At 37.8% G+C, this 27,267-nt stretch overlaps 3 protein-coding genes and 1 pseudogene across 4 annotated transcripts in view; all 4 read right to left on the minus strand.

Moving 5' to 3' along the window:
- On the minus strand, window positions 1–19,265 carry ZNF117 (zinc finger protein 117). Its single transcript, NM_015852.5, has 4 exons — window positions 18,176–19,265; window positions 10,213–10,345; window positions 9,616–9,711; window positions 1–7,765 (listed from the first exon to the last, which is right to left on the minus strand). Exons 3-4 carry the CDS (start codon window positions 9,647–9,649, stop codon window positions 6,348–6,350), a joined length of 1,452 nt encoding a protein of 483 aa, NP_056936.2. The 5' UTR covers window positions 9,650–9,711; window positions 10,213–10,345; window positions 18,176–19,265; the 3' UTR covers window positions 1–6,347.
- ERV3-1-ZNF117 (ERV3-1-ZNF117 readthrough) overlaps window positions 5–27,267 on the minus strand; it is a 34,971-nt gene continuing 7,708 nt past the window's right edge. The window contains exons 2-4 of the mRNA NM_001348050.2: window positions 10,213–10,345; window positions 9,616–9,711; window positions 5–7,765 (exon numbers count right to left, since the gene is read on the minus strand). Of these exons, the coding sequence (NP_001334979.1) occupies window positions 6,348–7,765; window positions 9,616–9,649 (1,452 nt within the window). The 5' untranslated portion in view covers window positions 9,650–9,711; window positions 10,213–10,345 and the 3' untranslated portion in view covers window positions 5–6,347. The remainder of the gene's footprint in view (window positions 7,766–9,615; window positions 9,712–10,212; window positions 10,346–27,267) is intronic.
- On the minus strand, window positions 1,146–1,453 carry VN1R43P (vomeronasal 1 receptor 43 pseudogene; annotated as a pseudogene).
- The window catches only part of ERV3-1 (endogenous retrovirus group 3 member 1, envelope), a 16,332-nt gene continuing 7,649 nt past the window's right edge, over window positions 18,585–27,267 (minus strand). For both annotated transcript variants that reach the window (NM_001007253.4, NM_001396062.1), the window contains exon 2: window positions 18,585–21,643. In NM_001007253.4, coding sequence (NP_001007254.2) covers window positions 19,441–21,255 — 1,815 coding nt within the window. In that variant the 5' untranslated portion in view covers window positions 21,256–21,643 and the 3' untranslated portion in view covers window positions 18,585–19,440. The remainder of the gene's footprint in view (window positions 21,644–27,267) is intronic.

Consider the following 27,267-nt stretch of genomic DNA (forward strand, 5'->3'; position numbering starts at 1 on the left):
TTGATCTAGGCTGTGACTTTTATTATTTAACCTCAAAATCCAAGGAAATCAAAAGAAAAATAGATACGTTAGATTACTTGAAATTAAAAAGCTGCTTCATGGAATCTGATACAATCAACAAAATGAGACAACTGAAAAAAATGGGAGAAAATATTTGCAAATCATACGTGGGACAAAGGGTTAATAACAGAAACATATAAACAACTTAAATGACTATACAACAGAAGACAAATAACTATTAAAAATGAGCAAAAGGCTTAAATATTTTTCAAGAAAAGACAAATGGTCAAGATATATAAAAAATGCTCAATATCAACTATAATCAGGAAAGCAAAAAGAAAAACCAGGAGATTATCAACTCACTCCTGTTAGAATTACTCTTACTAAAAAGAAAAGAAAGTGTTAGTCAAAGTATGAAGAAAAGGAATGCTTGCACACTGTTGGTTTGAATGTGAATGAGGAGAGTCACTATGAAAAACAAAAATTTGTCAAAAAATTTAAAATTAAACCACAATACAGCAATTTTACTGTATATATCCAAAACAAGTGAAATCAGAATGAAGAAACATTTATGCTTCTATGTTGTTTGCAACACTCTTCACAATTACCAAAATACACAATCAACAGTTCAACATTTATGAGTAAATAAAGACAATGTGGTACATATACACAATGGAATACTCTTCGTCTTTAAAAAAGAAATTTCTATTATTTTCAATCACATGAATTAACCTGGAGGACATCATATTTGTCTACATGAGCCAGACACAAAGATTATTTTTCATGATTTTACTTACACAGGGATTCTAAGAAACTTAATCCCATTAAAGTAGAGAGTAAAGTGGTGACCACCAGACACCAAGGTATTTAGAAAAAAGGGGGGTTTTGGAAGATGTTGGTCAAAGAATACATAATTATAGTTTAATAGGAGGAATAAGTTTAAGAGATCTTTTTGTACAGCATAGTGACTACAGATCATAATAATGTAGTTGTGTTTTTGAAAAACATTGACAATGTCACATACTCTGACCACAAAAATGTTAACGATGTGAGGTAAAGCCTTAATTACCTAGAATTAAGCATTTGACAACATATACTTCCAAACATCATGTTTTGCAGAATAAAGTACACATTTATTTATTACAGATGGTAATGGCATGAAAGACACTAAAAGGGCAGCTGTTGCTTATGGTCTCATGACTGGCCACCCTGTGAACACAATAAATGAATTTGCATAAAAATAACAGAAAATGTTTAATCAAAAAGCTGCCATAATCTTCAAAAGTTTTCTAGAGAAAATGACCAAGAAGCTGACTATAGTTAGGTGACAAAAAGCAATAACTGTACACTCACCTTCACCCACTAAAAAAATAATGAGTGAAAAATTCCTCGGAATTGTAATATCAATATAAAAAAGAAATATCATTCCAAATATCAAATCCACAGAAGTCATTTTATTATTTTGCAACCTTTAAATTTCACATTTAAAAATAAAAGATTCTGCATGGAAATGTATGTTATGCTATATCATAGAAAATTAAATTTAAAATTCTTCACTTACCATTTGCTCTCTTATAACTTAATTTCTAAGATGTATTTTCTAGCAAATTTTATATTTGCCACAATATATTTGCACTCCAGCCTGGGCAATAAGAGTGAAACTCTGTTTAATAACTCCGTTTAAAAATTTAATAAGTTTTTCCTTTTACAAACAGAAAAAAATAATGCTAACTGATTTAATCCTCTCACCTGTGGACAATGTATGCCTTTTATCTTAATTAACTGATCAGAAAGTTATATTGATAAGTACTCTCCAATAAAAAGCAATTTTTGAGTGCATTAAAAATACCAACTTTCTCATCAAAACCTACAAAGTACTGTATAAAATGACATGGCATGAAGACAACAGTGAGCAAAGTGTAGCCATCACATAGAAAAAGAAGGAGAAGGGCTGTGATGAATACACAGAAGTCACATAATAAGACAAACAAAACTAAAGGTAATTAGGAAATAAAAGAACCAAAATTTCTTTTTAAATTCAGCAAAATTTAGCTTTGCAGCATGGAAAAAAAATGTTATCTGCACATGAAGAATCAATGTTATTTCTTCACTATTGGTATTTTCCATCTCTGACTTGAAGTTACAAACTAACTCCAGCAGGAATGTTTACAGGTTATTATGGAACATCTGTTACACAGCAAGCACTGTCATATTTGTTTGCCACATATATATATAAAAACATCCTCATGACTTATGAAGCATTCCTAGTTCTTACCTGAACAAATTGGCTCAATAAATAAATAAATTTACTTATGTCAATTATAACAAGAGAAAAGAATAAGAAATATAGGCTTATATAGGATTCTCCAATTAAAAGAACAAATGGAATGTTCTAACTAAATATAATTAATACACAATTTTGGAAATACATCTAAAACTTATCTTGTGTGCAGTACTGAATTTTATAAAAATCATTCTTATAATCCATGAACAGCTCACATAATACCTCATAAAGTATAAAAGAAAAAAATGGTAAGAAACAAGAAAATTATAGGTCTAGCATGACTAACAGGCAAGTAAAAACATAATTTGCATGGAGAGATTCTGAATCATAAGTCAGAAGATTTGGCAGTAATGAATTCAATACAAAGCAGAGTATACATTTACTTTCAGCATTTTTGAAGTTTTCAGTTGTCTAGTACATTACTTTATTAAAATATTTGTTTTGCTCCAATATTGCTCTTTTCTTTTGAAAATAGGTACAAACTCACACTCACACAAAAACAGTCCATAACTTTCTTGCACTTAACATTTATTTTTAGAGTAATATATGGGTATAGTTAACTCTATGTAAACCAATACTAAAATTCTGTTATGTTTGCAGGCAGAGAGACATGTTCAAAGAAAAATACATAACAAAATTTTTAAAATGTTTAAGCAGGACTCAGAATTTTAAGACTCAGGATTTTATTTATACTTGTATATAATTTTTATTATACCCATGAAAATGACCCTATAGTCAATAGCAATTTACTTGTACATTTTAAAGTAACTAAAAGTGTAGAATCGGTTTGTAATACAAATGATAAATGCTGGAGTTGATGGATATTTCATTTGCCCTGATGTGATTAATACCTATTCATATGCCTGTATCAAAATATGCCATATATGGCATAAATATATACACACACTATGTACCCACAAAAGTTAAGAAAAATATGTTTAAATAAGAAAAAGAATAAAAATTTAACCTATGGGAACAATGTTCTTTAATTAAGTTCTTTAGTTTAAAGTCACTGGCAAGAGAAATTATTAGAGATGTTAGTCCACTCTGTTATTAAATAGTACATTGTTACTATCTTTTACCAACACCCTTGAGTAAGGTGGGATAGGTTGAAGTTAGTGGCATGATAATACTTCACTGAATGCACAATTGGTCTTAACATGTTAAAAAAAAAGTTTAATTAAAAAATTAAGTTCACAATAATCTAAAATTTTTTAAATGTGCTGCATTTTATTACATAAAAGTACAGTTAGTAAAATGATATACTACTAATTTTAATTTAATTTTAACTAAAATAAAAGATATTTTCACTAGAATGCAGAATATTCCTCTGAACACTTCCCTCATACATCATTCAATATTATAAATTAAACACAAAGAGCCTCTCCACTTAGATTTTTATCATGCATCCTACATTGTAATGTCTTTACTCTTCCATAGAAAAGGTAAAAAATATTGCCCACCTAACAAAAAAGAATGTCTCATATCTTTGATGAAGCAGCAATTGATCACATGCTTTCACATGTGAATACAATAGAATGAAAAGCATGAAGTAATTTGAGTTGAATTACATCATTCACTTTTTAAAAATTTTGTAATTTTTTCAAAGAAAAAAGTATACTTTAAATGTAATTATAACTAAAAATATTTCTACCTCTTTTAAAGTTATATATAAATAATTTATCTACCAACTTTAATTTTGGATTATTTTCTGTACTCAGCACACTGATTAGTTCAATGTCTAAAATGTCAGTGCCTTAGATATTTCTACTGTGAATTCTCTGATATTTACACACACTTAATTTTGGATTAAATTTCTTTTATACTTACTGCATCTGCAAAAATATATTTTAGTATAAATCCCCTGGTGTTTTCTAAGCAGTAGTTTTTGAAAAATGTTTTTCCAAATATATTACATTTGCAGTTTTTCTCCAATATAAACTCCCTGATGTTGATCAAAGTTTGAGCACTGCTTCAGGATTTTCCTTTAGTACATAATGTGTACAATAAAATCTGTGATACAAATAAAGACACTACAACCCTCTTTATGTACCTAATGTTTGTCTTCAAAATGAAAACCTTCTTCTCTTTAAAGGCTTATATTTGTCAGGCACAGTGACTCACACCTATAATCCCAGCACTTTGGGAGGCAGAGGCATGTGGATCACTTGAGGTCAGGAGTTCAAGATCAGCCTGGCCAACATGGTGATAGCCAGTCTCTACTAAAAATAAAAAAATTAGCCAAATGTGGTGGTGTGTGCCTGTAGTCTCAGCTACTCTGGAGGCTAAGGCAGGAGAATTGCTTGAACCTGGGAGGCAGAGGTTGCAGTGAGCCAAGATCACACCACTGCACTCCAGCCTGGGTGACAGAGCAAGACTCCATCTAAAAAAAAAAAAAAAACTTTCATTTTCTGATTTTACACTAATTGCTTTTATAATGCTTTTATTAAGCACTAACTCTCTAATGTTGAGTAAGATGTAAGCAGATATTAATGGCTTTTCCACATTTATATTTGTACAATTTTTCTGAAGTGCTTTCCTGTGCTATAAGGTGTGAAAAATTAAAAGTTTTGCCACATTCTTCACACTTCTGGGAGTTTCCTCCAGTATAAATTATCTTACCTACAATCAAGTGTGACAACCATTTAAAGGCTTTGTACCATTCTTCATATTTTTAAGATTTCTCACCAGTATGATTTATTTTATGTTTAGAAAAGTTTGAAGGTGTTGTCAAAATCATTGTCACATCTTTCAGGTTTGTAAAGTTTCCAGTATTAATTTTCTTATGTTTAGTAAAGTTTGAGATTTAGTTACAAGCATTGCCACATTCTTCACATTTGCAGGGTTTCTCTCAAATATGAATTGTCTTATGTGGAGTAAGGGTTGATGATAGGTTAGCTTTGCCACATTCTTCACATTTGTAGGGTTTCTCTCCAGTACGATTTTTCTTATGTGCAGTAAGGTTTGAGGATAAGTTAAAAGCTTTGCCACATTCTTCACATTTGTAGAGTTTCTCTCCAGTATGAATTATATTATGTATAGCAAGGTGTGAGAACTGTTTAAAAGCTTTACCACATTCTTTACATTTGTACAGTTTCTCTCCAGTATGAATTACCTTATGTTTAGTAAGCGTTGAGGACAGGTTAAAGGCCTTGTCACATTCTTCACATTTGTAGGATTTCTCTCCTGTATGAATTTTTTTATGGTCTGTAAGGTTTGAAGATCGGTTAAAAACTTTGCCACATTCTTCACATTTGTAGCATTTCTCTCCAGTGTGAATTATCTTATATGTAGAAAGGGTTGAAGACTGGCTAAAAGCTTTAGCACATTTTTCACATTTGTAAGGTTTCTCTCCTGTATGAATTTTCTTATGTGTAGTAAGTTTTGAGCATCGACTGAAAGTTTTGCCACATTCCTCACATTTGTAAGGTTTCTCTCCAGTATGAATTCTTTTATGTATAGTAAGAGTTGACACTTGGTTAAAAGCTTTGCCACATTCTTCACACTTGTAGGGTTTCTCTCCAGTATGAATTCTTTTATGTATAGTAAGAGTTGACACTTGGCTAAAAGCTTTGCCACATTCTTCACACTTGTAGGGTTTCTCTCCAGTATGAATTTTCTTATGTGTAGTAAGGTTTACGTATAGGTTGAAAGCTTTGCCACATTCTTCACATTTATATGGTTTCTCTCCAGTATGAATTATTTTATGTGTAGTAAGAGTTGAGAACTGGTTAAAAGCTTTTCCACATTCTTCACATTTGTAGGGTTTCTCTCCAATATGAATTTTCTTATGTTTAATAAGGTTTGATGATCAATTAAAAGCTCTGCCACATTCTTCACATTTGTAGGGTTTCTCTCCAGTATGAATTCTTTTATGTGTAGAAAGGGTTGAAGATTGGTTAAAAGCTTTGTCACATTCATCACATTTGTGTAACTTCTCTCCAGTATGAATCATCTTATGTTTAGTAAGGGTTGAGAAATGGTTAGAAGTTTTGCCACATTCTTCACACTTGTAAGGTTTCTCTCCAGTATGAATTTTCTTGTGTTCAATGAGTTTTGAGGATCAGGTAGAAGCTTTGCCACATTCATCACATTTGTACTGTTTCTCTTCAGTATGAATTATCTTATGTGTAGTAAGTGTTGAAGATTGGTTAAAAGCTTTGCCACATTCTTCACATTTGTAGGGTTTCTCTCCAGTATGAATTCTCTTATGTCCAATAAGGGTTGAAGATCGGTTAAAGGCTTTGCCACATTCTTCACATTTGTAGAGTTTCTCTCCAGTATGAATTTTCTTACATGTACTAAGTTTTGAGGATAGGTGGAAAACTTTGCCAGATTCTCTACATTTGTGGGGATTCTCTCCAGTATGGATTATCTTATGTGTATTAAGGGCTGAGGACTGGTTAAAGGCTTTGCCACATTCTCCACATTTGTAGGGTTTCTCTCCAGTATGAATTACCTTATGTCTAGTAAGGTTTGAGAGTTGGTTAAAAGCTTTGCCACATTCCTCACATTTGTAGGGTTTCTCTCCAGTATGAATTTTTTTATGGTCAGTAAGATTTGAAAATTGTTTAAAAGCTTTGCCACATTCTTCACATTTGTAGGGCTTCTCTCCACTATGAATTCTCTTATGTGTAGTAAGGGTTGAGGACTGGTTAAAGGCTTTACCACATTCTTCACATTTGTACAGCTTCTCTCCAGTATGAATGTACTTATGTTCAGTAAGTTTTGAGGATCGGTTAAAAGCTTTGCCGCATTCTTCACATTCATAACGTTTCTCTCCGGTATGAATTAACTTATGTTCAGTAAGCTTTGAGGCTTGGTTAAAAGCTCTAACACATTTCTCACATTTGTAGGGAATTTCCCCAGTATGAATTATATTATGTGTAGTAAGGGTCGATGACTGGTTAAAGGCTTTGCCACATTCTTCACATTTGTAGGGTTTCTCTTCAGTATGAATTCTCTTATGTCTAATAAGGTGTGAGGTCTGGTTAAAGGCTTTGCCACATTCTTTACATTTGTAAGGTTTTTCTCCAGTATGAATTCTCTTATGTTTATTAAGGGTTGAGGACCAGTTAAAGGCTCTTCCATATGCTTCACATTTGTAGAAATTCACTCTAGTTTGGATTCTTTTATGTTGAGTTAGGTGTGAAAGCATGCAAAATGTTTTGCGACATTCTTTACATTTAAAATGTTTATTTTCAGTATGTCTCATCTTGTGTCTATTTGAATTTGAAATTTTATGGAAAACTTCTACATATTTATTACATTGAAATATTTTGCTCAAGGTAGTTTTCAAACATTGGTTAAGTCCACTATAATCTCCTTTGTGCTGTTTACACTCAACCACACTTTTACAGCCTTTTCTTAACTGTAAATTCTCATATCCACATTTTCTATATCTTCTTAGGGTCACTTTCTGGAAAGAATCTCTTATGTTCTGCTCTGGCCAAAGGTGTTGGGCAAAATAATAAAACATAACTGAAAGAAATAAAAGTAACAAACTACTTCACTTGCTCGACTCAGATGAATATACTTTACAAATCTAACCCATAAAGTTACAGAAACTACATAAGCAAGATGGCATAGCAAAATACCACAGGTTCTAATTCCTTCATAGACATATAAATGTAACAAGAGCATATTGACCAAAATGCATTTATAGAAAATTTATAAATGAGTTACGTGTGTGCAGTGTTCCAGGTTATCACAATTCCAAAAGCCACATGGAAGGAAGAGAAAAGTTGGTTACATTTACCCAACACAGCTCTTTCTGCTCCTCAGTATAACATAGTGTCTTTAGAAGTACATTACCAACTTTTGCTTTCTTTTTCAACAGACAAGAAAAATAACACACCCACATCTTTATTTCTGGCTTTATTAGGTGCTTTGGCGGACACTGGTTTCTGTCTCCAATGACATAAAGTGCTGAAATTAACAGTGGTATACTTTGGAATGACATTTTGAGTCTGCTGAGATCAAAGGTAAATGTTACAGCAGGAAAGAGACTGTACTACAGACAGGGAACAGTTGTGGCAAGTGATGACTATTAAGAAGAAACATGAATAAAGTCTTTTAACTAAAAAACAACTAGAACATTTCAGACAAGACACATCCTAAGAACATGTTTGAAAGACTCTCAGGATCTCTAGCTAAGACAAATGGTTTCAGACTTTGCCAGGACAAAGCTACATTATAGACACTGTGACAGGTAGCTTGTTTTTAATGTTCAAATTTCAATTAAAGATTACAATGCATACAAAATTTTAGGGCAACATAGCTCTATCAGATATTATAAAATTTTCAGAAAGCAACCATTAAAAAATTAATTTTAAAAAGTTAACATAAATTGAATAATACTCCATGAATGAAATAGAAACACAGACAACTATTAAAAATCATAAAAATTGGGATAACAAAAATATTAAAAATATCAAAAAACAGATATTGTGGAGGTAAAAAATATAAAAAAGGAACTGAAAAATTATAAGAAAAACTGATGTAAAAATTAAAAAGGTTAACAAAGAAACTAGAATACACACAAAGATATTTACAACAAGAACATATATAAGCACAATTTTAAAAGTCACAGACAAGAGAATATTGTGAGTTGCAAGATAAAAGTGATATGTTATTTATAAGCATAGTCTTATGAGGTAATGAGTGAATTTCTCAAGAAAATTTGCAGGCCAGAAGGGAACTAACTGTGTGACATTGTCCAAGTCCTGAAGAAAATAGCTGTCAAGTGAGAATAATACCAGCAGCAAATCTGTCCTGCCAAATAAAAAGAAAAAGCCAATCCAAAATAGCCAAATCCTGAAAAGGTATATTGGCACTGCATATGCCTTACATATGTAACTATATTTCAAAGCTATAGTAGTAAAAACAGAATGGAATATACAGAAAAATAAACAACAACAAAAAAACCAATGGAACAGAAATCACTACTCACACATTTCAGACTTGATGCAAAAAGAGAATTTAAAAAACTGTTTAACATAGAGTTTCTCAAAATTATGCATATTTGTGTGTCCCCCAAAACAACAACAAAAAAAAACCAGTCAGATTGTGCAGTCTTTTATATCCCATGAAGAGGATGTTGGCTTTCACTGTGAAATTGAAGACAGATCACTAAAGGGAAAGAGGAATCCTTAGAGAATTGAAAAACAATACAAAATATGTTCTATGTGAGAGAAAAATAAAAAAAAACTCGGGCTTTCCAGAAACTATTTCCTTTGGAACACAGCTTACCAAATCACATTTTAAGCTGTGGCCTTCTCCTTGGCCTTTGACCTCTTCTCTGTGCCATCTGTGTATTCACTCTCACTTACCTAAATGTTTAGCTACCATCTCATGTCTCTTCATATTCCAGGGCTCTTTTCCTTGCTCCAGACAGGTAATCAGGTCTGGCTTAGAGACAGCAATACCTGTTTTATTGAAAATAAATAACATAAATCTTGCACATATTCTCCAATTACCAACTTGGTAATGTGCTCAGTAAAGAGAATGCAATAGAATATTCTAGTAAATTAATCCCCAAATGCTAATTTATAACAAAAATTTCTAAAGATTTAGAAAATATTTTAAATTTGTAGTTTCTTAATTTCACTACCTGGTACTACTGAATCAAAACAATTGTTGTTGGGAGTTAGATTTTAAGGTGTGGGCAACAATATTTTATGCCAATAAATTTCTAAAATTACCACTAATCAAGACTGAATGATAAAGATCATCTCAGGAATGTGGAAAGTTATGGTAAAGATGAAACATCTTGAATAAACTATTTTCTACAATGACAAATCTAAAAGATTTTTTTGAAAACAGGGATCTGAAACTCAATTTATGCAAAGCATAAATCACCAAAAACATTCTACAAAAAAGAGAATTAAAACCTTTAGGGTATATTAGAAAATGTGTATTGAAGTTACCTTCACCCAAGAAAACCAGGTTTCTGTAGTTCTCTCACATCACATGCCTATATAAATTCTGCTGTGCAGTGTCCAGGCATTGCCACTCCTCCAAAGAGAATTCTATGGCCACATCCATAAATGTCAATGGTCCCTGAAAAACACAAAAACACACACATACACAAAATCACATACATTTACCAAGTGGCCATGGGCATAATTTTAAATTTCAAGGTAAAATAAAACAGTAAAGAAAACTGGTTCTGACTTATAGGAGTGAATGAAACTATCCATAAAAGAATTTTTAACACAGAAATATTTTCTAATGTATTATCTAACCCTGAGAAAAGAAAGTGGTATAAGAAGATCCACAACATCTGTGTATATATGGTACTTTTCTGGATAATAAAGTATAAATTAGGGCATAAACGCCAACATGTCTATTTTTAAATGCTATATCTGCATCATACAGAATGAGTTGTGTGTATTTTTGAGATGAAAAAGACATGTTGAGTTAAAAGGTACCTCGCAAGTTTTAATGTGTATGATAAACTTCAGATCTCGTTAATGCAGATTATTTTTTCAGAAGATCTGGAACAGTCTGATATTCTAAATTTCTAAAAAGCTCACCAATAATGTCAATGTTTTTGGCCCAAGAAGAGTATTTTGTCAAACATCTAGTAGGTGGGTGAGCCTGTGTTTTTCCCAGTTTTTCTGGCCTGTAAAAAGGGATGACAGCTTTCATTTTCCTAAGGCAGATATACGCACAGAAAACCTAAGAAAGAAAGGCAGCTGCCAGATTAAATGTGATGGTTTACATGCACATCAGCAGCATAAAGATACTTAATAATGAAGAGAAAAATAATTATAGTAAAGAAATCTGTCCAAGAGCTCTTTAACCAATTGAATCATTAACATCAACTGCACTAGGACAAATTTTTGTAATGTGCTGATGCACACAGAAAAATGCAGCTTCACTGCTGCGATATTGATCTCAAAAGTAAATTAGAGTTTGAATTTAACCATAAAAAATCAGTTTTATGGAAACTTCAAGATACAGATAATTCATATGTTCTGTAATTTTTAATAGTGATTTTAAGTAGTTTTTCTTCAGCACCCTAAAGAGCAGGTATCTATCTCCTAATAATTTGTTTCAGAACTTTCTGGGTAATAAATGCCATTCTGTTTGAAAAAGCATTTTATTAATCGTGTTCTGCATAGAGCTAATGGAGAACAGAGATGGTACCTCAACGTTACATGTTCTCCTTCTTTACTAAAGACCCTAGCTTTTCCCCAATAGGAATCTTGAGTAGTCACACCTTCCCATGTTCAACAGCCACAGAGGGAACATTTTTCATGTTGCAGATTATAAATTCATAATGAGATTTCTACGTGGCATATAAAGAGCCGTGATGTAGAGATGTAGAGAAGCCTCTGGTATGTAGGAAAAAATATTTTTCAGAGACCCTTGACTATCATAAGAATTTTAAAAAGTAGTTGAAACAAACTCATTAGGGAGAAACAACACAATTAGAGAAGTAAAGGTTTGCAAGAACTAAATGCATGGCATTCCAGGAGGCAGAGTGGACACAGCTCTCTATCTGAGACATATTAAGCTTAAAAAAAGGTCATGTCTTCCTCTTTCTCCTGTTTCTCTGGGATTCCTTTTAAGATGAGATTCTATGGACAAATTACACCTGCATGCTGAGAATATGCTTTTAAAAGTGTCAGCACCACCTGTTTACCTGCTACCACCACACCCACAGAGATAGACAGAGATAGCTCTAAGAGCTCTGTGACAGCCCACCTCATTCACAGACACCATGGGATAGTAATGGGGCCTCTAAAACAGAAACCAAAAGCATTCAAGAGAAAAACAGCTCTCACTCTGAGAAAAATTGTATTGAGAGAAAAACAGTTAAAAGCATCTTTTAAAAACACAAGCTAGATATAAGTTTGATCAAGTCAGCCAGAAAATATTCTGCTAATCAATTTTTCTAAACACCCAAATTGCACAGCTACTCTCAGCATGAGAAACGTGAGCATTATGAAGAAAGGGGTCATATTCTCAGCAGAATTTTATAAGGATTCTCTTCCATCTCTGCTGCTCTCTCTTCTCCTAGCCATTAAATGAGAGATCTATAATGGAATATATTTGACAATTTCCAAAGAACACTTTTTTTTTTTGAGACGGAGTCTTGCTCTGTCATCCAGGCTGGAGTGTAGTGGTACAATCTCAGCTCACTGCAGCCTCCACCTCCAGGGTTCAAGGGATTCTCATGCCTCAGCGTCCAGAGTAGCTGGGATTACAGGCATGTGCCATCACGCCCAACTAATTTTTGTATTTTTAGTAGAGACAGGGTTTCACCATGTTGGCCAGGTTGGTCTTGAACTCCTGACCTCAAGTGACCCGCCTGCCTGGACCTCCCACCACCATAACTTTCCGATGAAGAATTAGAATATTACTTTATTCATATAGTGGAATACATTTGAGTTTGCATCATGGTGAACTGTAGAGCTATTATGGTTTTTGGGTGGCCAAATCATTCTTGTTTACTTTTCCCGTAATAGCACCATTCCAATTTAGTGAAATGATAGACACTAAAATCATGCTTACCTATAATTAACTCTACTGGATAAATTAGTAAGCATGTCATACTAATATTACTGTAATAGTTTGGTAGTAAATTTCCTTTGAATATTAGATATAAATATCTAAGTATAAATAATGTACTAGTCATAATGTACATAGGATTTTTAAAAATTGTCTACAACCATAATTCAATTAAAACAGTTTATATTTCAAAAGTATGAATATAACATTATTTTTTGTTTGTTTTTTTGTTTTGAAACAGTCTCGCTCTATTGCCCAGGCTGGAGTGCAGTGGTGCAATCTCAGCCCACTGCAACCTCTGCCTCCCAGGTTCAAGCGATTCACATGCCTCAGCCTCCTGAGTAGCTGGGATTACAGGCACGCGCCACCACGCCCGGCTAATTTTTGTATTTTTTAGTAGAGATGGAGTTTTGCCATGTCGGCAAGGCTGGTCTTGAACTCCTGACCTCAGGTGATCCACCCACCTTGGCATCCCAAAGTGCAGGGATTACAGGCATGAGCCACCACGCCCGGCCGAATATAACATTATTAAAATGACTAAGGGATTCAAAGTAAATATTGTAGTGTTATATTCACACTAGTATATAAAATACTGTTTATATGAATGCAGTTTGTCTACAAACACTACATATAACTATGCTAATTGTACTCAAGTAATAAATATAAACCAAAGCACAACTACAGACTCCACTGTTCAGTTCATACACTGAACCATGCTTTTGCAATAAAAGTACTTCGGCCTGCAAATATTACCTGATTACCTTGGATAATCTGTATTCTATCAAAGGAACTTAGTATCTTTTAGTCTTTAGCATTTTTTATTGCTAAATTTAATCCTATCTTCATGCTCAACTTTTGTGTGCTCTTAAAACAAACTTTAATCTAAACAAATCTGTGTCTACCTTAAAAGACAACAAATGGAGAAAATAAATCTTTGCCAAAGCAATGAACCTGAGGTCCTAGACAAAGACAATCCCAAGTCAAAAACAGTGACAAAAGGTTTAACTGTTAATATGATTTACATATCTTTCAAACAACAGAGAAAAAATATACATAAAATTTAAATGCTTTAAGGAAAAATAAATTAAGAAAATATACTCCTGGCAGGGTGCAGTGGCTCACACCTGTAATCCCAGCACTTTGGGAGGCTGAGGCTGGTGAATCATGAGGTCAGGAGTTTGAGGCCAGCCTAGCCAACATGGTGAAACCTCATCTCTACTGAAGATACAAAAAATTAGCCAGGTGTGGTGGTGTGTGCCTGTAACCCCAGCTACTCGGGAGGCTGAGTACACTTGAACCCAGGAGGTGGAGGTTGCAGTGAGCCAGATCATGCCATTGCACTCCAGCCTGGGCAACCAGGTGAGACTCCATCTCAAAAAAAAAAAAAAAAAAAAGAAAGAAAGAAAATATCCTCCCTTTTTTCATGTGGAGAATAAGGCTTCTTATTTCTAATTTGTATTTTCCACTATAACAGCCAGGTCTCTGGACATGTTTTTGAACTACTGGACATCTTAATTTTGCATGCCATGTGCACTTGAGAAATGTTTATGGGAAAAAAGCAGAAGAAAGAAAGGTGTTATAAAAAAAAAATCCATGGGTGTATCAATCAAGAAAAATGACAAGAAAAGTCTCAATCATTTTAGGAGATTTATTTCCCAAAGTTAAGAATGCACAGCTAGGAAAAAGGCCTATGTCTTTCTCCCAAGAAAATTTTGGGGGCTCCAAATTTAAAGGAGAAAGAATGAGATACTGAGAAGTACAAAACTGTTATGTAAGAGGGAGGTAGGGAAAAACAGTCATTCATGTCATTGTCTGTCAGTGAATCTGCATTTTTTTTAACATAAGATGATGCAGACAAATGGCACAGACAAAAAATGCAGGTAATCTGCATTTTTACATAAGATAACATAGACAAAAAGGGGCAGGGGAACAATCAGATATGCATTTATGTCTGGTGGAACGTGTAAAGATAAGCCATCAATTTATATTTCCATGGTATAATTTTAACAGAAACACCTTAGGGTAAAGATCTTGCAGCTCACTAGAAATTTTCTTGTGGGCAAAATATGAGGGAGTCATGTAACTTTTCATCTTGTAGCCATCTTATTTAAGAACCAAAAGGATAGGTGGGTTTGTGTGACCCAGTTCCCAGCCTAACTTTTCTTTTTGGTTTAATGAGTTTGGGCTCTGAAGATTTCATTTCCTTTCACAGGTACACATGAATAAGACCAGTTCTAAGAGATTTATATTTAGATTCTGACAGAATAATTTTGGGAGACTACAACACCCCACAGACACTATTAGACACATTTTTGAGGCAGAAAATTAACAAAGATATTAGGACCTAAACTCAATACTTGACCAAATAATCATAATAGACATCTACAAAAGTCTCCATCTAAAAGCAATATAATATACATTCTTCTCATCACCAAGTGGCCCATACTCTAAAATTGACCACACAATCAGAAATAAAACAATCCTCACCAAATTCAAACATCCCCAAATTATACCAACCACACACTCTGACCACAACTTGATACAAATATAAATCAAAACAAAGAAAACCACTTGAAACCATACAATTATGTGGAAATTAAACAACCTGCATCTGAATAACTTTTGGGTAAATAATAAAATTAAGGCAGAAATAAAAAAGTTCTTTGAAACAAATGAGAACAAAGTACAACATACCAGAATCTCTGCAACACAGCTAAGGCAGTGTTAAAAGAAGAATTTATAGCACTAAATGCTCACATAAAAAAGTTAAAAAGATCTCAATTTAACAATGTAATATCATAAATAAAATGAGAGATGCAAGACAAAACCAATCCCTAACTAGCAGAGGGCAAAAAGTAACTAATCTGATCTGTACTGAAGGAGATTTAGATGTGAAAAACTATACAAAAGATCAAGAAATCCAGGAGTTAAATCTTTGGAAAAAATTAATAAGCTAAATAAACCACGAGCCAGATTCATAAAGAAAGAAGATTCAAATAAAGAGAATTAGAAATGACAAAAGGAACATTAACCCTGACCCCACAAGAATACAAATAACTGTTGAAGTCTACTATAAACACTTCTATGAACACAAACTAAAAAATCTGAAAGAAATAGTAAATTCAGCTGGGTGCGGTGGCTCACATCTGTAGTCCCAGCTCTCAGGGAGGCAAAAGGTGGGAGGATAGCTTGAGCCCAGGAGTTTGAGACCTGCCTGGGCAATATAGTGAGACCCCGTTCTCCACAAAAAGGAAAAAAAAAAAAAAAAGACCAAAAAAATAGAAATAGTAAAGTCGTGGACAAATATATCCTCCCAAGACTGAACAAAAAAGAAATCGAATCTCTGAGTAGACCAATAACAAACTCCAAAACTGAATTAGTAATGAATAGCCTAGCAACCAAAAAAAGCCCAGGACGAGAGAGATTCACAACTGAATTCTACCAGATGTACAAAGAAGAGCTGGTACCATTCCTTCTAAAACTATTCCAAAAAATTGAGAAAAAAACACTCCCCTTCAACTCATTATATAAGAATGTCATCATTCTGACACCAAAACCTGACATAGGTATAACAAAAAAAGAAAACTTTAGGCCAATATCCTTGATGACCATTGATGCAAAAATCTTCAACAAAATATTGGCAAATTAAATTCAACAGCACATCAAAAAGCAAATCCATTATGATCAAGTAGGCTTTATCCCTGGGATATGAGGCTGGTTCAACATACACAAATTAATATATGTGATTCATTACAAAAACAAAAATAAGGATAAAAACCACCAGATTATCTCAATAGATGCAGAAAAAGCTTTCAAGAAAATTTAACATCTTTCACGTTAAAAACCTGCAACAAACTAGGCATAGAAGATACATACTTCAAAATAATGAATTCTGTATGACAAACCCACAACAAACATACTGAGTGGACAAAAGCTGGAAGCATTTCTCCATGAAAACTGGCACAAGACAAGGATGTTTTCTCTCACCACTCCTATTCAACATAGAATTGGCAGCCCTCACCAGAGCAATCAGACAAGAGACAAAATAAAAGGCATCCAAATAGGAAGAAAGGAAGTCAAACTTCCCATTTTTTGCAGATGTAATTCTATATATAGAAAACCCTATAGTCTCCACAGAAAAGCTCCTTAAACTGAAAAACTGAACCAAACTTCACAATACAAAGCAAATGTACAAAAATTAGTAGCATCCCTGTACATTAATAACATCCAAGCCGAAAGCCAAATCAAAAACACAATCCCCTTCACAACTGCCACAAAAAGAATAAAACATCTAGAGATACAGCTAACCAGGGAGGTGAAAGACCTCTACAACAAGAATTACAAAACACTGCTTAAATAAATCATATATGACACAAATAAATGGAGATTTATTTTATGCTCATGGATAAAAAAGATCAATATCATTAAAATGGCCATACTGCCAAAAGAAATTTACAGATCTAATGTAATTCCTATCAAACTACCAAAAACATTCTTAACAGAACTAAAAACAACTATTTTAAAATTCATATAGAACTAACAAAGAGCCCGAATACCCAAGGCAATGTATACACACACACACACACATATATACACATATACACACACACACACATATATATAAACGACTCATAGAACAAGAAACAGAATAGATAGCCAATAAATAATGCCACAATGCCACACACCTGCAACCATCTGATCTTCAACAAAGCTTACAAGAGCAATGCAGGAAGAATTCCCTATTTAATAAATGAGGTTGGAATAACTAGCTAGCACTATGCAGAAGATTGAAACTGGATGCCTTTCTTACATGATATATAAAAATCAATTCAAGATGAATTAAAGACTTAAATGTAGAACTTAAAATTATATATATATATATATATATATATATATATATATATATATATATATATATATATAAAACCTGAAAATAATCTAGAAAATAACCTAGAAAATTCTAAGACATAAAAACTGGCAAAGATTTTATGATGAAGATACCAAAAGCAATTGCAACAGAAGCAAAAATTGACAAATGGGACCTAATTAAACTAAAGAGCTATTTTGCAGCAATGGAAACAATCAACTGAATAAACAGACAACCTACAGACTAGAAGAAAATATTTGCAAACTATGCTTCTGACAAAGGTCTAAAATCTAGCATCCATAAGAAACTTAAACAAATTTATTTTAAAAAAAAAGAAGAAGAAGAATAAGCCAGGATCTGTGGCTCATGCTTGTAATCCCAGCACTTTGGGAAGCTGAGGCAGATGGATCATGAGGTCAAGAGATCCAGACCATCCTGGCCAACATGGTGAAACCCCATCTCTAATAAAAATACAAAAATTAGCTGGGTTTTGTGTCACGCACCTGTGATCCCAGCTACTCAGGAGACTGAAGCAGAAGAATCATCTGAACCTGGGAGGTGGAGGTTGCAGTGAGTCGAGATCATGCCACTGCACTCCATCCTGGTGACACAGCAAGACTCCATCTCAGAAAACAACAACAACAACAAAAAGAAAACCAAAAACCTAATTAAAAAGTAAGCAAAAACATGAACAGATACTTTTCAAAAGAAGACATACATGTGGCTGACAAGCATATGAAAACAAAATTCACGTTGTTAATTATTAGAAAAATGCAGAGAAAAACCACAGTGAGATACCATCTCATCCAGTCAGAATGCCTATTGTTAAAAAGTCAATGACAGATGCGGGCTAGGTTGCAGAGAAAAAGGAATGCTTATATGTTGTGGGAATCAGGAGGCCGGAGAGATCACTGGGTGCAACAGGAAGGTTTTATTTAGGTGGCCACTGGCCCAGCGGATTAACATCCAAAGGCTGAGCCCTGAACAAAGACAGGGCTTGACTTTTATACATGCATCAGGCAGGGGCAAGTCGGGTTTTTGGCGCAAAACCTGCGAGGTGAGAAAGCAGTCTTACAGAAGCAGAACAAAGGCAGTTAATCATACCGTGACAGGTTTTACAACAGGATTTGCAACATGAGCCTACCTTACTTAAACATGTCTTGTGACCTTGCCATGCTACAGAAAGAAAAACAAGAACTTACAAAATCTTTACAGACTTGCAGAAATAGTTACAAAAATAGTTGTGAGAGCAGAACAAAGAATAATGTTATGGGGAGAGAATTTCAAACAGGGAAACTGATAAGGAGAACTTGTTTTTCTCATCCCTGCTCCTGGAGCCCACTCCTTCGGAGCCCCTGCCTGGCCTTGCAGATAATTATCATAGCTCCAGCAGGACTTTGGAGTGAGTCAGACTGGTCAGGAAAGGACTTGTTTTCCCTTTACTTGTTTTTCCTTTTATATTTCCTGCTTCATTCCCCCCTTTGATGCTTTTTATAAGTAAAGTTTAAGAGAAAGCATCACTATCTTCATTTACTTCAAGAGGAAGTAGCTCTTTTCTTGGCAGGGGTTAATACTTAGTTAGGGCCATTAGTCGTGTGGTAGTCCGTCTGTCCACAAGAGCCTCTATGGCTGTTTGGATATTTTTGACAATGAGGGGTAAGAGACAAGGGAGTATAAGGCAAACTCCCAATATGGCTAGGACTATTTGTACTAAGGTTTTAAATCCTCCAAGGGATGAGAACCAACCTCTGAAAAGGGAATCTGGAGACTATCCTTTCCAAGTCTGAACTGGGATGTGAGCTAACTTTTGGATTTTAGCAGTTATTTCTTTGATGACCTTTCCTTCGTCATCAAGTTCCAGGCAGCAGTTAGTAAGGTTGAACTTTCCGCATACTCCCTCTTCCTGGGCTAGGAGGTAGTCTAAGGCCAGTCTATTTTGATAAATGACATTTCTCATTTTTGTGGCTTGCTGGGCAAGCAGATTCAAGGCCCCTGCAGTTTCATTGGTAATGATTTCTAGTACTGCCTGCAATCTTATAATGCGGTTAAGCATGTAAACTGGGGTGCGGTATCCCCACATTCCATCTTCTGCCCAGGTGGCTGGGCCATAATATTGAATTATTCTTTCAGGAGGCCATTCATTGTCCTTCCAATCTCCTATAGTTATGCCTCTTTTGCTTTTCCTTTTAGTTTCATCATAGATGGGGTATCCTAAGGCTTCTCCCTGTTTTAGGGGCATTAGGAAGAAGGACGGCCTAATTGTCCCCAGTACACAGGCCCCTGACCATTTAGCTGGCAGTTGTCGATATGCTTGTGGCCCACAGATCCAGTAGAGGCCAGAGGGTGCCTGCCAGGTATTTGGAGCTTCAAGTTGGTACCAAGAATGGTTTAAAGATGGGAAACGAGAGAATGGGCTTGGGTGTGGTGATTCAGAATTATTGCTTTTGCCCCTCCATAAAGTCTTTCCTAGTGTCTCGTTGTAATATTGTTGTCCTAGGCAAGTTAACTCTCCTACTGGGTCTGTAAAGGCCTTTCCCCAGCGAGCAATACAGAATTTTCCAATAATGGAGGTTTTTAAGAACCAGATGCTCTGACTTGATGGTGCAGGTTCGAGGGAAGAGGCGGTTAGTGTGAAATTATCTTGGGGCATTAGTTCCCTTGCTTCCCATGGCCATTGGTCTCCCATGTTCATTCCCCCACAGACATAACATGAAGCAACGTGCAGGCTGCTGGCTATGTTTTCAGCCAGTTGGGCGAATAAATTACTGGCCAAGGGAGGGGGCTCAGGCAATTTCTGGTTAACATGCTCATAGAATGACTCAAAAACTCGGAACTGTTGGGTTGAGCGGGTCCGAGTTTTCTTTATGATATATAGATAGACATAGGCTCCTGGGCCAATTTCTTCACCGCTGACTCGTGCCCCTAGCGGTGCTTTTAAACCTGTTGTCCATATGGGCTGATCTGGCTCTAAGATGGTAAGATTTACAGAATTGCAAGTGCTTGTTTTACAATCTGGTTCTAATGGTATTTTGGTAAGCATAATTGGCCCTAGTGATTGTTGGTTAGTGGACCACGTTGTGCAGTCCCAGCAAGTTGTTACTGGGGAATCGGTGGAACAAGCAGGGTGTGCATACCTATTTTTATGGCAGCTACTATAGTACTCCATGGAACTGAAGATTACGGGAAAGAGTGAGCCCATGGATACTATCTGGCAAACATCAAAGTATAAGGATACGACATCCTTGCCAGAGGGAAATACCTTGGTTTGGTTTAGAAGATCCCCTTCCTTTGACCCGACATGAATTTCAAACCAGGTCCCAGGTGAAGACTTAGGGTCATAACACACATAAGGCTGGCCCCTTCCTGGGTCACAGACTGAGTAGGTTGTCTGGTTGTGAGTACAAGTTCCTAGGCAGGTCCCAGCACACTCATAATAAGTGTGATACAACAGGGTTTTAGTCATGATGTTCCCCGACCACGTAGTGTGGGTGCAGTGGAGGCATCCCTCCCAGGGTTCTCCTTTTAACATGGATAAGGGGAGTAGCAAGAACAAAGTGATGAGTAGCATGTTCATACCCAGCATGGACAGAAAAGGCTTTTTCCTGGGGGGAGAAGGCTAAGCAAAGTGACAGCTTAATAGCAAAGTAATTAATATGACAAGGAAAATTACTGGACTTCAGATTTCTAACCACATTTACTTCCCTGATGATGACTCAAGCTTCGGCCGTGCATAGACTAGTCAGCTTCTGGGGTGACTAGAGCAGGGCTGTTGTCTCCTCAAGCTTCAGCCGTGTGTGGACTGGTCAGCTTCCGGAGTGACCAGAGCAGGGCTGTTGTCATCTCACTGGCACCTTGGTTCCATCGTAGGATCAGCTGGGTTGCATGGTCTAGGTCCTGTTGGCTGGTCCACTTGTCCTGGGCTGCTGGTTTCAGCTGACTGGATGGATGGATCCAAGGCACAATTCCTGCAACTTTAACAACAGTGGGAATAGACAAGATTACAGTATGGAGCCCATCCCATATGGGTCCCAGAGTGGTTGGGTTTTATTTTTTGACCCAAAGAGAGTCCCTGGGTTTAAAGGGGTGTATTGGATCTATCAGGCTTATGGGCATTCTTTCCTGTACCCAGCCATGGACACTTCACATGGCTATCCCTAAAGCCTGCATTTGCCTCCTTAAAGTTAATTCCCCTAGTTCACGGAGATTACCCTTAATTTGACTTATGATTGGGGATGGCTTGCCGAACAGTATTTCATAGGGCGAATACCCAGTTTGTTTGGTGGGGGTGCACCTAACTTGAAGGAGGACCATGGGCAGGACTTGATCCCATCTCAGAGGGGTTTCTTGGCAATATTTCTTCAGTAGCTGTTTGAGTGTCCAGTTCATGCACTCTACTTTTCCTAAGCTCTGCAGCCGGTAGGCTGTGTGTAATTTCCATTTTATTTTTAACACTCGTGTTAGTTCCTGAATTATTTCAGCTAGAAATGCCAGCCTGTTGTCTGACCCTAGAGTCACAGACAGTCCAAATCTGGGGATAATGTTTCTTAATAGTATTTTAGTCACTTCTCATGAGTTCTTGCTTCTGGTAGGGAAAGCCTTGGCCCATCCTGAAAAGGTGTAGACAAGTACTAACATGTACCGATAGCTCCCTGCCTGAGGCAACTCTGTAAGTCCATAAGCAGGTTTTCACAGGGCATGGTTCCTATTTCCTGAATTCCTGGGGGCCGAGTGGGCCATTGTCATGGGTTGTTCTGGGCACAGGTTAAATATTGTTCACAAACAGCTTGGGTGATGGCAGTGAGTCGCGGCACATAGAAATGGCGTCCTAGTAGCGTTTCTAGTGCTGTTTTTCCCACGAGTTCCATGATGCAATTACTTCACAAATTTGGGGGCCACCATTTTGGGAATGGCCGACCTCCCATCAGAAAATTTCCACCATCCTCCTTCAATATATTTTCCAGTTTTTTGGGCAAAACAGGCCTTCTCATTCGGAGAGTAACTTGAGACCTCCTGGAGGGGAGGCTCTGGGAGGAGGGGCATAGCTAAGGCTTCCTTTTTAAAATGAGGTGTAACCATTGCTGCCCATTTTGCCTCCCTGTCTGCCTTTCTGTTTCCTTTTGCCTCTGACGTCCCTGCCCTCTGGTGTCCCCTGCAGTGCATAGCTGCTACTTTCTCTGGGATCCATACAGCATCTAAGAGCTGTAGAATTCATTCTTTCCATTTTATTTCTTTGCCTGTGGCAGTTAAGAGTCCTCTTTCTTTATATATAGCTCCATGAACATGCAGTGTGGCAAAAGCATATTTGGAATCCGTGTAAACACTGATCTTTTTGTCTTCTGCCAGCTGGAGAACCCTCGTTAGGGCTGCTAGCTCTGCCTTCTGGGCTGATGTTCCAGCAGGCTGAGGCTACGCCTCCACCACTGAGTCTAAGGTCACCACTGCCTACCCAGCCCAGCAGACCCCTTCCAGCACAAAACTGCTTCCATCTATGAAGTATTCTACATCTGGGTCCTTGAAAGGCTGGTCTGTAAGGTCTCCTCGACTGGAGAATACCTCGTCCACTGTTGCCACAGTCACGGAAGGTGATTCCCGGTTTGACTGGGAGCAGGGTAGCTGGGTTAAGGGTGTTCACTGTTTCTAAAGTTATGCGTGGATTTTCACATAGGAGCCCTTGGTATCAAGTCATCGTTGGGTTTGATAACCAATGCTGCTCTCTCTGATCCATTAAAGTTATAACCGCATGTGGTACCTGGATGGTCAATTGTTGCCCCAGGGTCAGTTTGTCAGCTTCTTGTGTCAATAGGGTGGTAGTGGCTAGTGCTTTACAGCAAGGAGGCCACCCTAGCACCACAGAGTCAACTGTTTGGATAAGTACACCACTGGGCGATGCCATGATCCTATGATTTGAGTCAGGACCCCTATAGCCATTCCCTTTAATTCATGGACATATAGAAAGAAAGGCTTAGTAGTATCTGGCAGTCCTAAGGCTGGAGCCTGAGTTAGGGCTTCTTTGATTTGTTTAAACACCTTCTTCTGGTCAGCCTTTCAGAGGAGGGGTTCCTTTTCACCCTCCCTTGTGGCTTCATATAAGGGCCTGGCTATAAGTGAGAAATTTGGGATCCAGATATGGCAGAACCCTGCTGCCCCTAAGAATTCCCCTATTTGGCGCCAGGTGGTTGGAGTTGGAAGTGCACAAATGGCTTGCTTTCATCCATGGCCAAGCCAGCGTTCCCCTTGGCTTACTATGAAGCCTAAATATTTAACCTTTTCATGGCAAATTTGGGCCTTCTTTTTGGATACTCTATACCCTGCTTTCCATAAGAGATGGAGGAGGTCCTGGGTTCCCCAGTAACAGTCCTCTTGGGTTGGGGCTGCCAAAAGAAGGTTGTCTATGTACTGCAACAAGGCGCAGTTGTCATTTGGTGGGGTGTATGCCTTGAGGTCTGAGGCCAGTGCTTCCCCAAAGATTGTGGGAGAATTCTTGAACCCTTGTGGGAGACTAGTCCAGGCGAGCTGTCCCCCTGTGCCTGTGACTGAATTGTCCCATTAAAATGCAAAGATGGGCTGACTAACTGGTGCCAGGTAGAGACAGAAGAAAGCATCCTTTAAGTCCAGGACTGTAAACCAGGTGGCACTTGCTAGAATAAGTCCCATTAAAGTATACAGGTTTGGTACTACTGGATGTATGGTCACCGTGGCTTGGTTTACAGCATGCAAGCCCTGCACCGGTATATACTCATCAGATCCTGGTCCAGGCAATGGTTTTTGTACCAGCAAAAGTGGAGTGTTCCAGGGTGACTGGCATTGGATTATGATCCCATGGTCACAGAGCCACTTTAAATGCTTATAAATGCCCCAAATATCCTCTTGGGAAAGTGGGTACTGACAAACCTGAACTGGAGTTGCTCCTGGTTTTAATTCTACTACCAGTGCCTGATTTACAGCCAGCCCAGGTGGCTTGTCTTCAGCCCATACTCCAGGAATTTTATCAATTGGCCTAAATAATAATTTCTCTTCCTCCTGCGTACAAGGCTGCATTGGTGCCTGTACTTCATGTATAGTCTCCATTCCTCAGCCTGCGGGATGGTGAGGGTTAACACCATGGCCTTTGGTTGAGTTAGGCTTAAAGTAATATCTCCTTGTGACCCAAAGGTAATCTGTGCATGCAATTTTTGGAGTAGGTCTCTTCCTAGTAGAGGCACTGGATAATTGGGGAGATACAGGAATTTATGTTGGACCTCTCATCCTCCAAAGACACACCTCCTTGGCTGACAAAATGGCCTCTTCTCTGGGACCCCTGTAGCCCCAACAATAGTTGTATGATCTTTGGATGATGGCCCTATGGGCTGGGTCACTACCAAGTGTTCAGCCCCAGTGTCTACCATAAAGTTCATTAGCTGGCCTCCTACTTCTAATGTGACCATGGGCTCCTGGGGGGCTAAAGAGAAGGAGCCCAGTCTGGCCTAATCTTCATATTCTCCAGTTCCTGCCAGCCTGATCAAGTAGGTATCTGACTCCCTTGGGACACAATAGCCCTTGGCTGGCAGTTTTCCAGTTTTATAGTCTCTGTCATTTTCTTCATTGCCCTCTGGACATTCACCTTTCCAGTGTCCCCTCTTTTTGCATTGCGCACATTGATTCCTACATAGTCTTGGTTGACTTTCAGGTCTCTGCCTGGCCTGAACCCCTCCATGTCCATGGCTATGTCCACACCCACTCGCGATGCTAGTTTCCCTTCCTGTGAGGACTGCCACTAGCAGATCGGCCTTTTTCTTAAGTCTGATCAGCCTCTCTTTGTCTCCTGGTTACGGTTAACATACACCTTGGTGGCCACTTCTAAAAGCTGAGTGGCATTCATGCCCGTGAAACACTCTAGCTTTTGCAGCTTTCGCCTGATGTCTCCCTGGGCCTGTCCTACAAACTCTGCGTTCACCATGCACTGGTTCTCAGTAGCCTCAGTGTCAAACGGGGTGTAAAGCTAGAATGCTTTACAGAGTCTCTCATAAAACTGACCAGGACTTTAATTAGTCTCCTGCAGCACTTCCAAGATTTTCCCCGTGTTGACTGCCTTTTTCCCACCTTCCTTTAGCCCTTGCAGGAGTGCCTCCCAGTACCTCTGTAGGTACTGTAATTGGGCTGCATCATTTGGGTCCCAGTGTAGGCTGGCTTCTGGGAATTGGCCCTGAGCATATATGCCTGGACATTAAGTGTGCCTTCTGGTGCATTGTGTTCCAGCCAGTGGAGGGCTGCCTGGGTCACCCTTCGGCATTCCTCGGTGTTAAACAGTGTCAGGAGGAGCTGTTTGCAATCTGGCCACGTTGGATTTTGTGTCTGAAAAATGGACTGCATCAGATCTGTGAGGGCTTGGGGCTTCTCTGTGTAGGAGGGAGTAGGGAGTATGGTGTTTCCAGTTTAGGAGATCAGTGGTTGAAAAAGGCTGGTAAATAAAAGTCGGTTGCCCCCCCTTGAACCTGCCCCTGTTCATCATAATAGATAGGTCCCCGTGTTTCACGGAGGGGCATCTGCCACACTCTGGTGTGGCCAGGTCGAAGGCGGCCTGCTTGATCATCCTGACTTTCCTTCTTGACCTCCTGAGGTGGGGGCTCAGATTTCCCCCTTTGAGGTGTAGCCTGGAGTGTGTCACCATCTGAGTCTGGCTGCTCAGGGGCCGTCCTTGGTAAAGGGGGATAGATTGGCACATAGGGAGGAGGGGTTTCTATCTCCTCTGCTGGTTCCTGCAAAACTGGTTTTTCTTGTGGCTTTCCTTTTGTCTCTGTAGCTGACAGTGAAGCTGATTTTTCTTTTACTTTAGGCTTGGCTCGAGCTATGAGCGTTTTGCAATAAGAAGCCAGGCAAGGCTGCAGCCATGCAGGTTGAGTTTGAACTATATTTAGCCATGAGTCAATATAAGGAAATTGGTCTGGATGCCCTGGCTGTCCTCCGACCCCAGTCACCACCTTAAATACACGGCCAATTTTTTCCCTATCTATAGTTCCTTCGGCCAGCCATCCAACATTGAAAGAGGGCCATTCTATTTCACAGAGAGTTCTCAACCTCTGGGGGGTCAACTTGATCTCATAATCCCCTGTATAATCTTACTTAAAGTTCCTTAACATACATTCTAATGGGATGGGTTTTGATGACTTCCCTCCCATTTCCTCCCAGTTATGGCAGAACCCACTCACTCTTCCTTTCATTTCAGACTGATTAGACCGTGTCCCTTGCAGGAGTATTTCAGACACTTCTTAGATTTAATGGAGGGTTCATATGAGTCCTGAACCCGGACCACCACAATCTATAAGTTGTGGGGCACCTCCCTAAGCCATATGCCGTAGCCCCAAAGGATGTTTGCCACTAGTCTCGGTCGGTTCCACACTTCACTCAGATGGTACAGTCTATGCTAAGAGACCTGTGGCTCCACACACGTCACTCAGCATGTTGGTTCCTTTTGGAACCATCTCTTTCACATTTATTCACACACCTCCCCACTTCCAGTTTCCTTTCTTAACCAACTTAGTGAGCCACTCTCACGTCCTGGGTCAGTTGGGGTGTAGGTTTCTTCCAACTTTGCGAGCCCCTCTCATGTCCTGAGTCG

This window comes from Homo sapiens, chromosome 7, assembly GCF_000001405.40.
Source record: "Homo sapiens chromosome 7, GRCh38.p14 Primary Assembly".
NCBI classification, from domain to species: domain Eukaryota; kingdom Metazoa; phylum Chordata; class Mammalia; order Primates; family Hominidae; genus Homo; species Homo sapiens.

What these genes read in the sequence shown, in the direction of transcription:
- ZNF117 (NM_015852.5), bottom strand. Translation starts at nt 9,649, where the DNA reads ATGAAGAGACATGAGATGGTAGCTAAACATTTAG. An exon ending in GATGGTAGCTAAACATTTAG is followed by an intron (nt 7,766 to 9,615) that starts GTAAGTGAGAGT and finishes TATTTCTTTCAG; the next exon opens with TTATGTTTTATTATTTTGCC.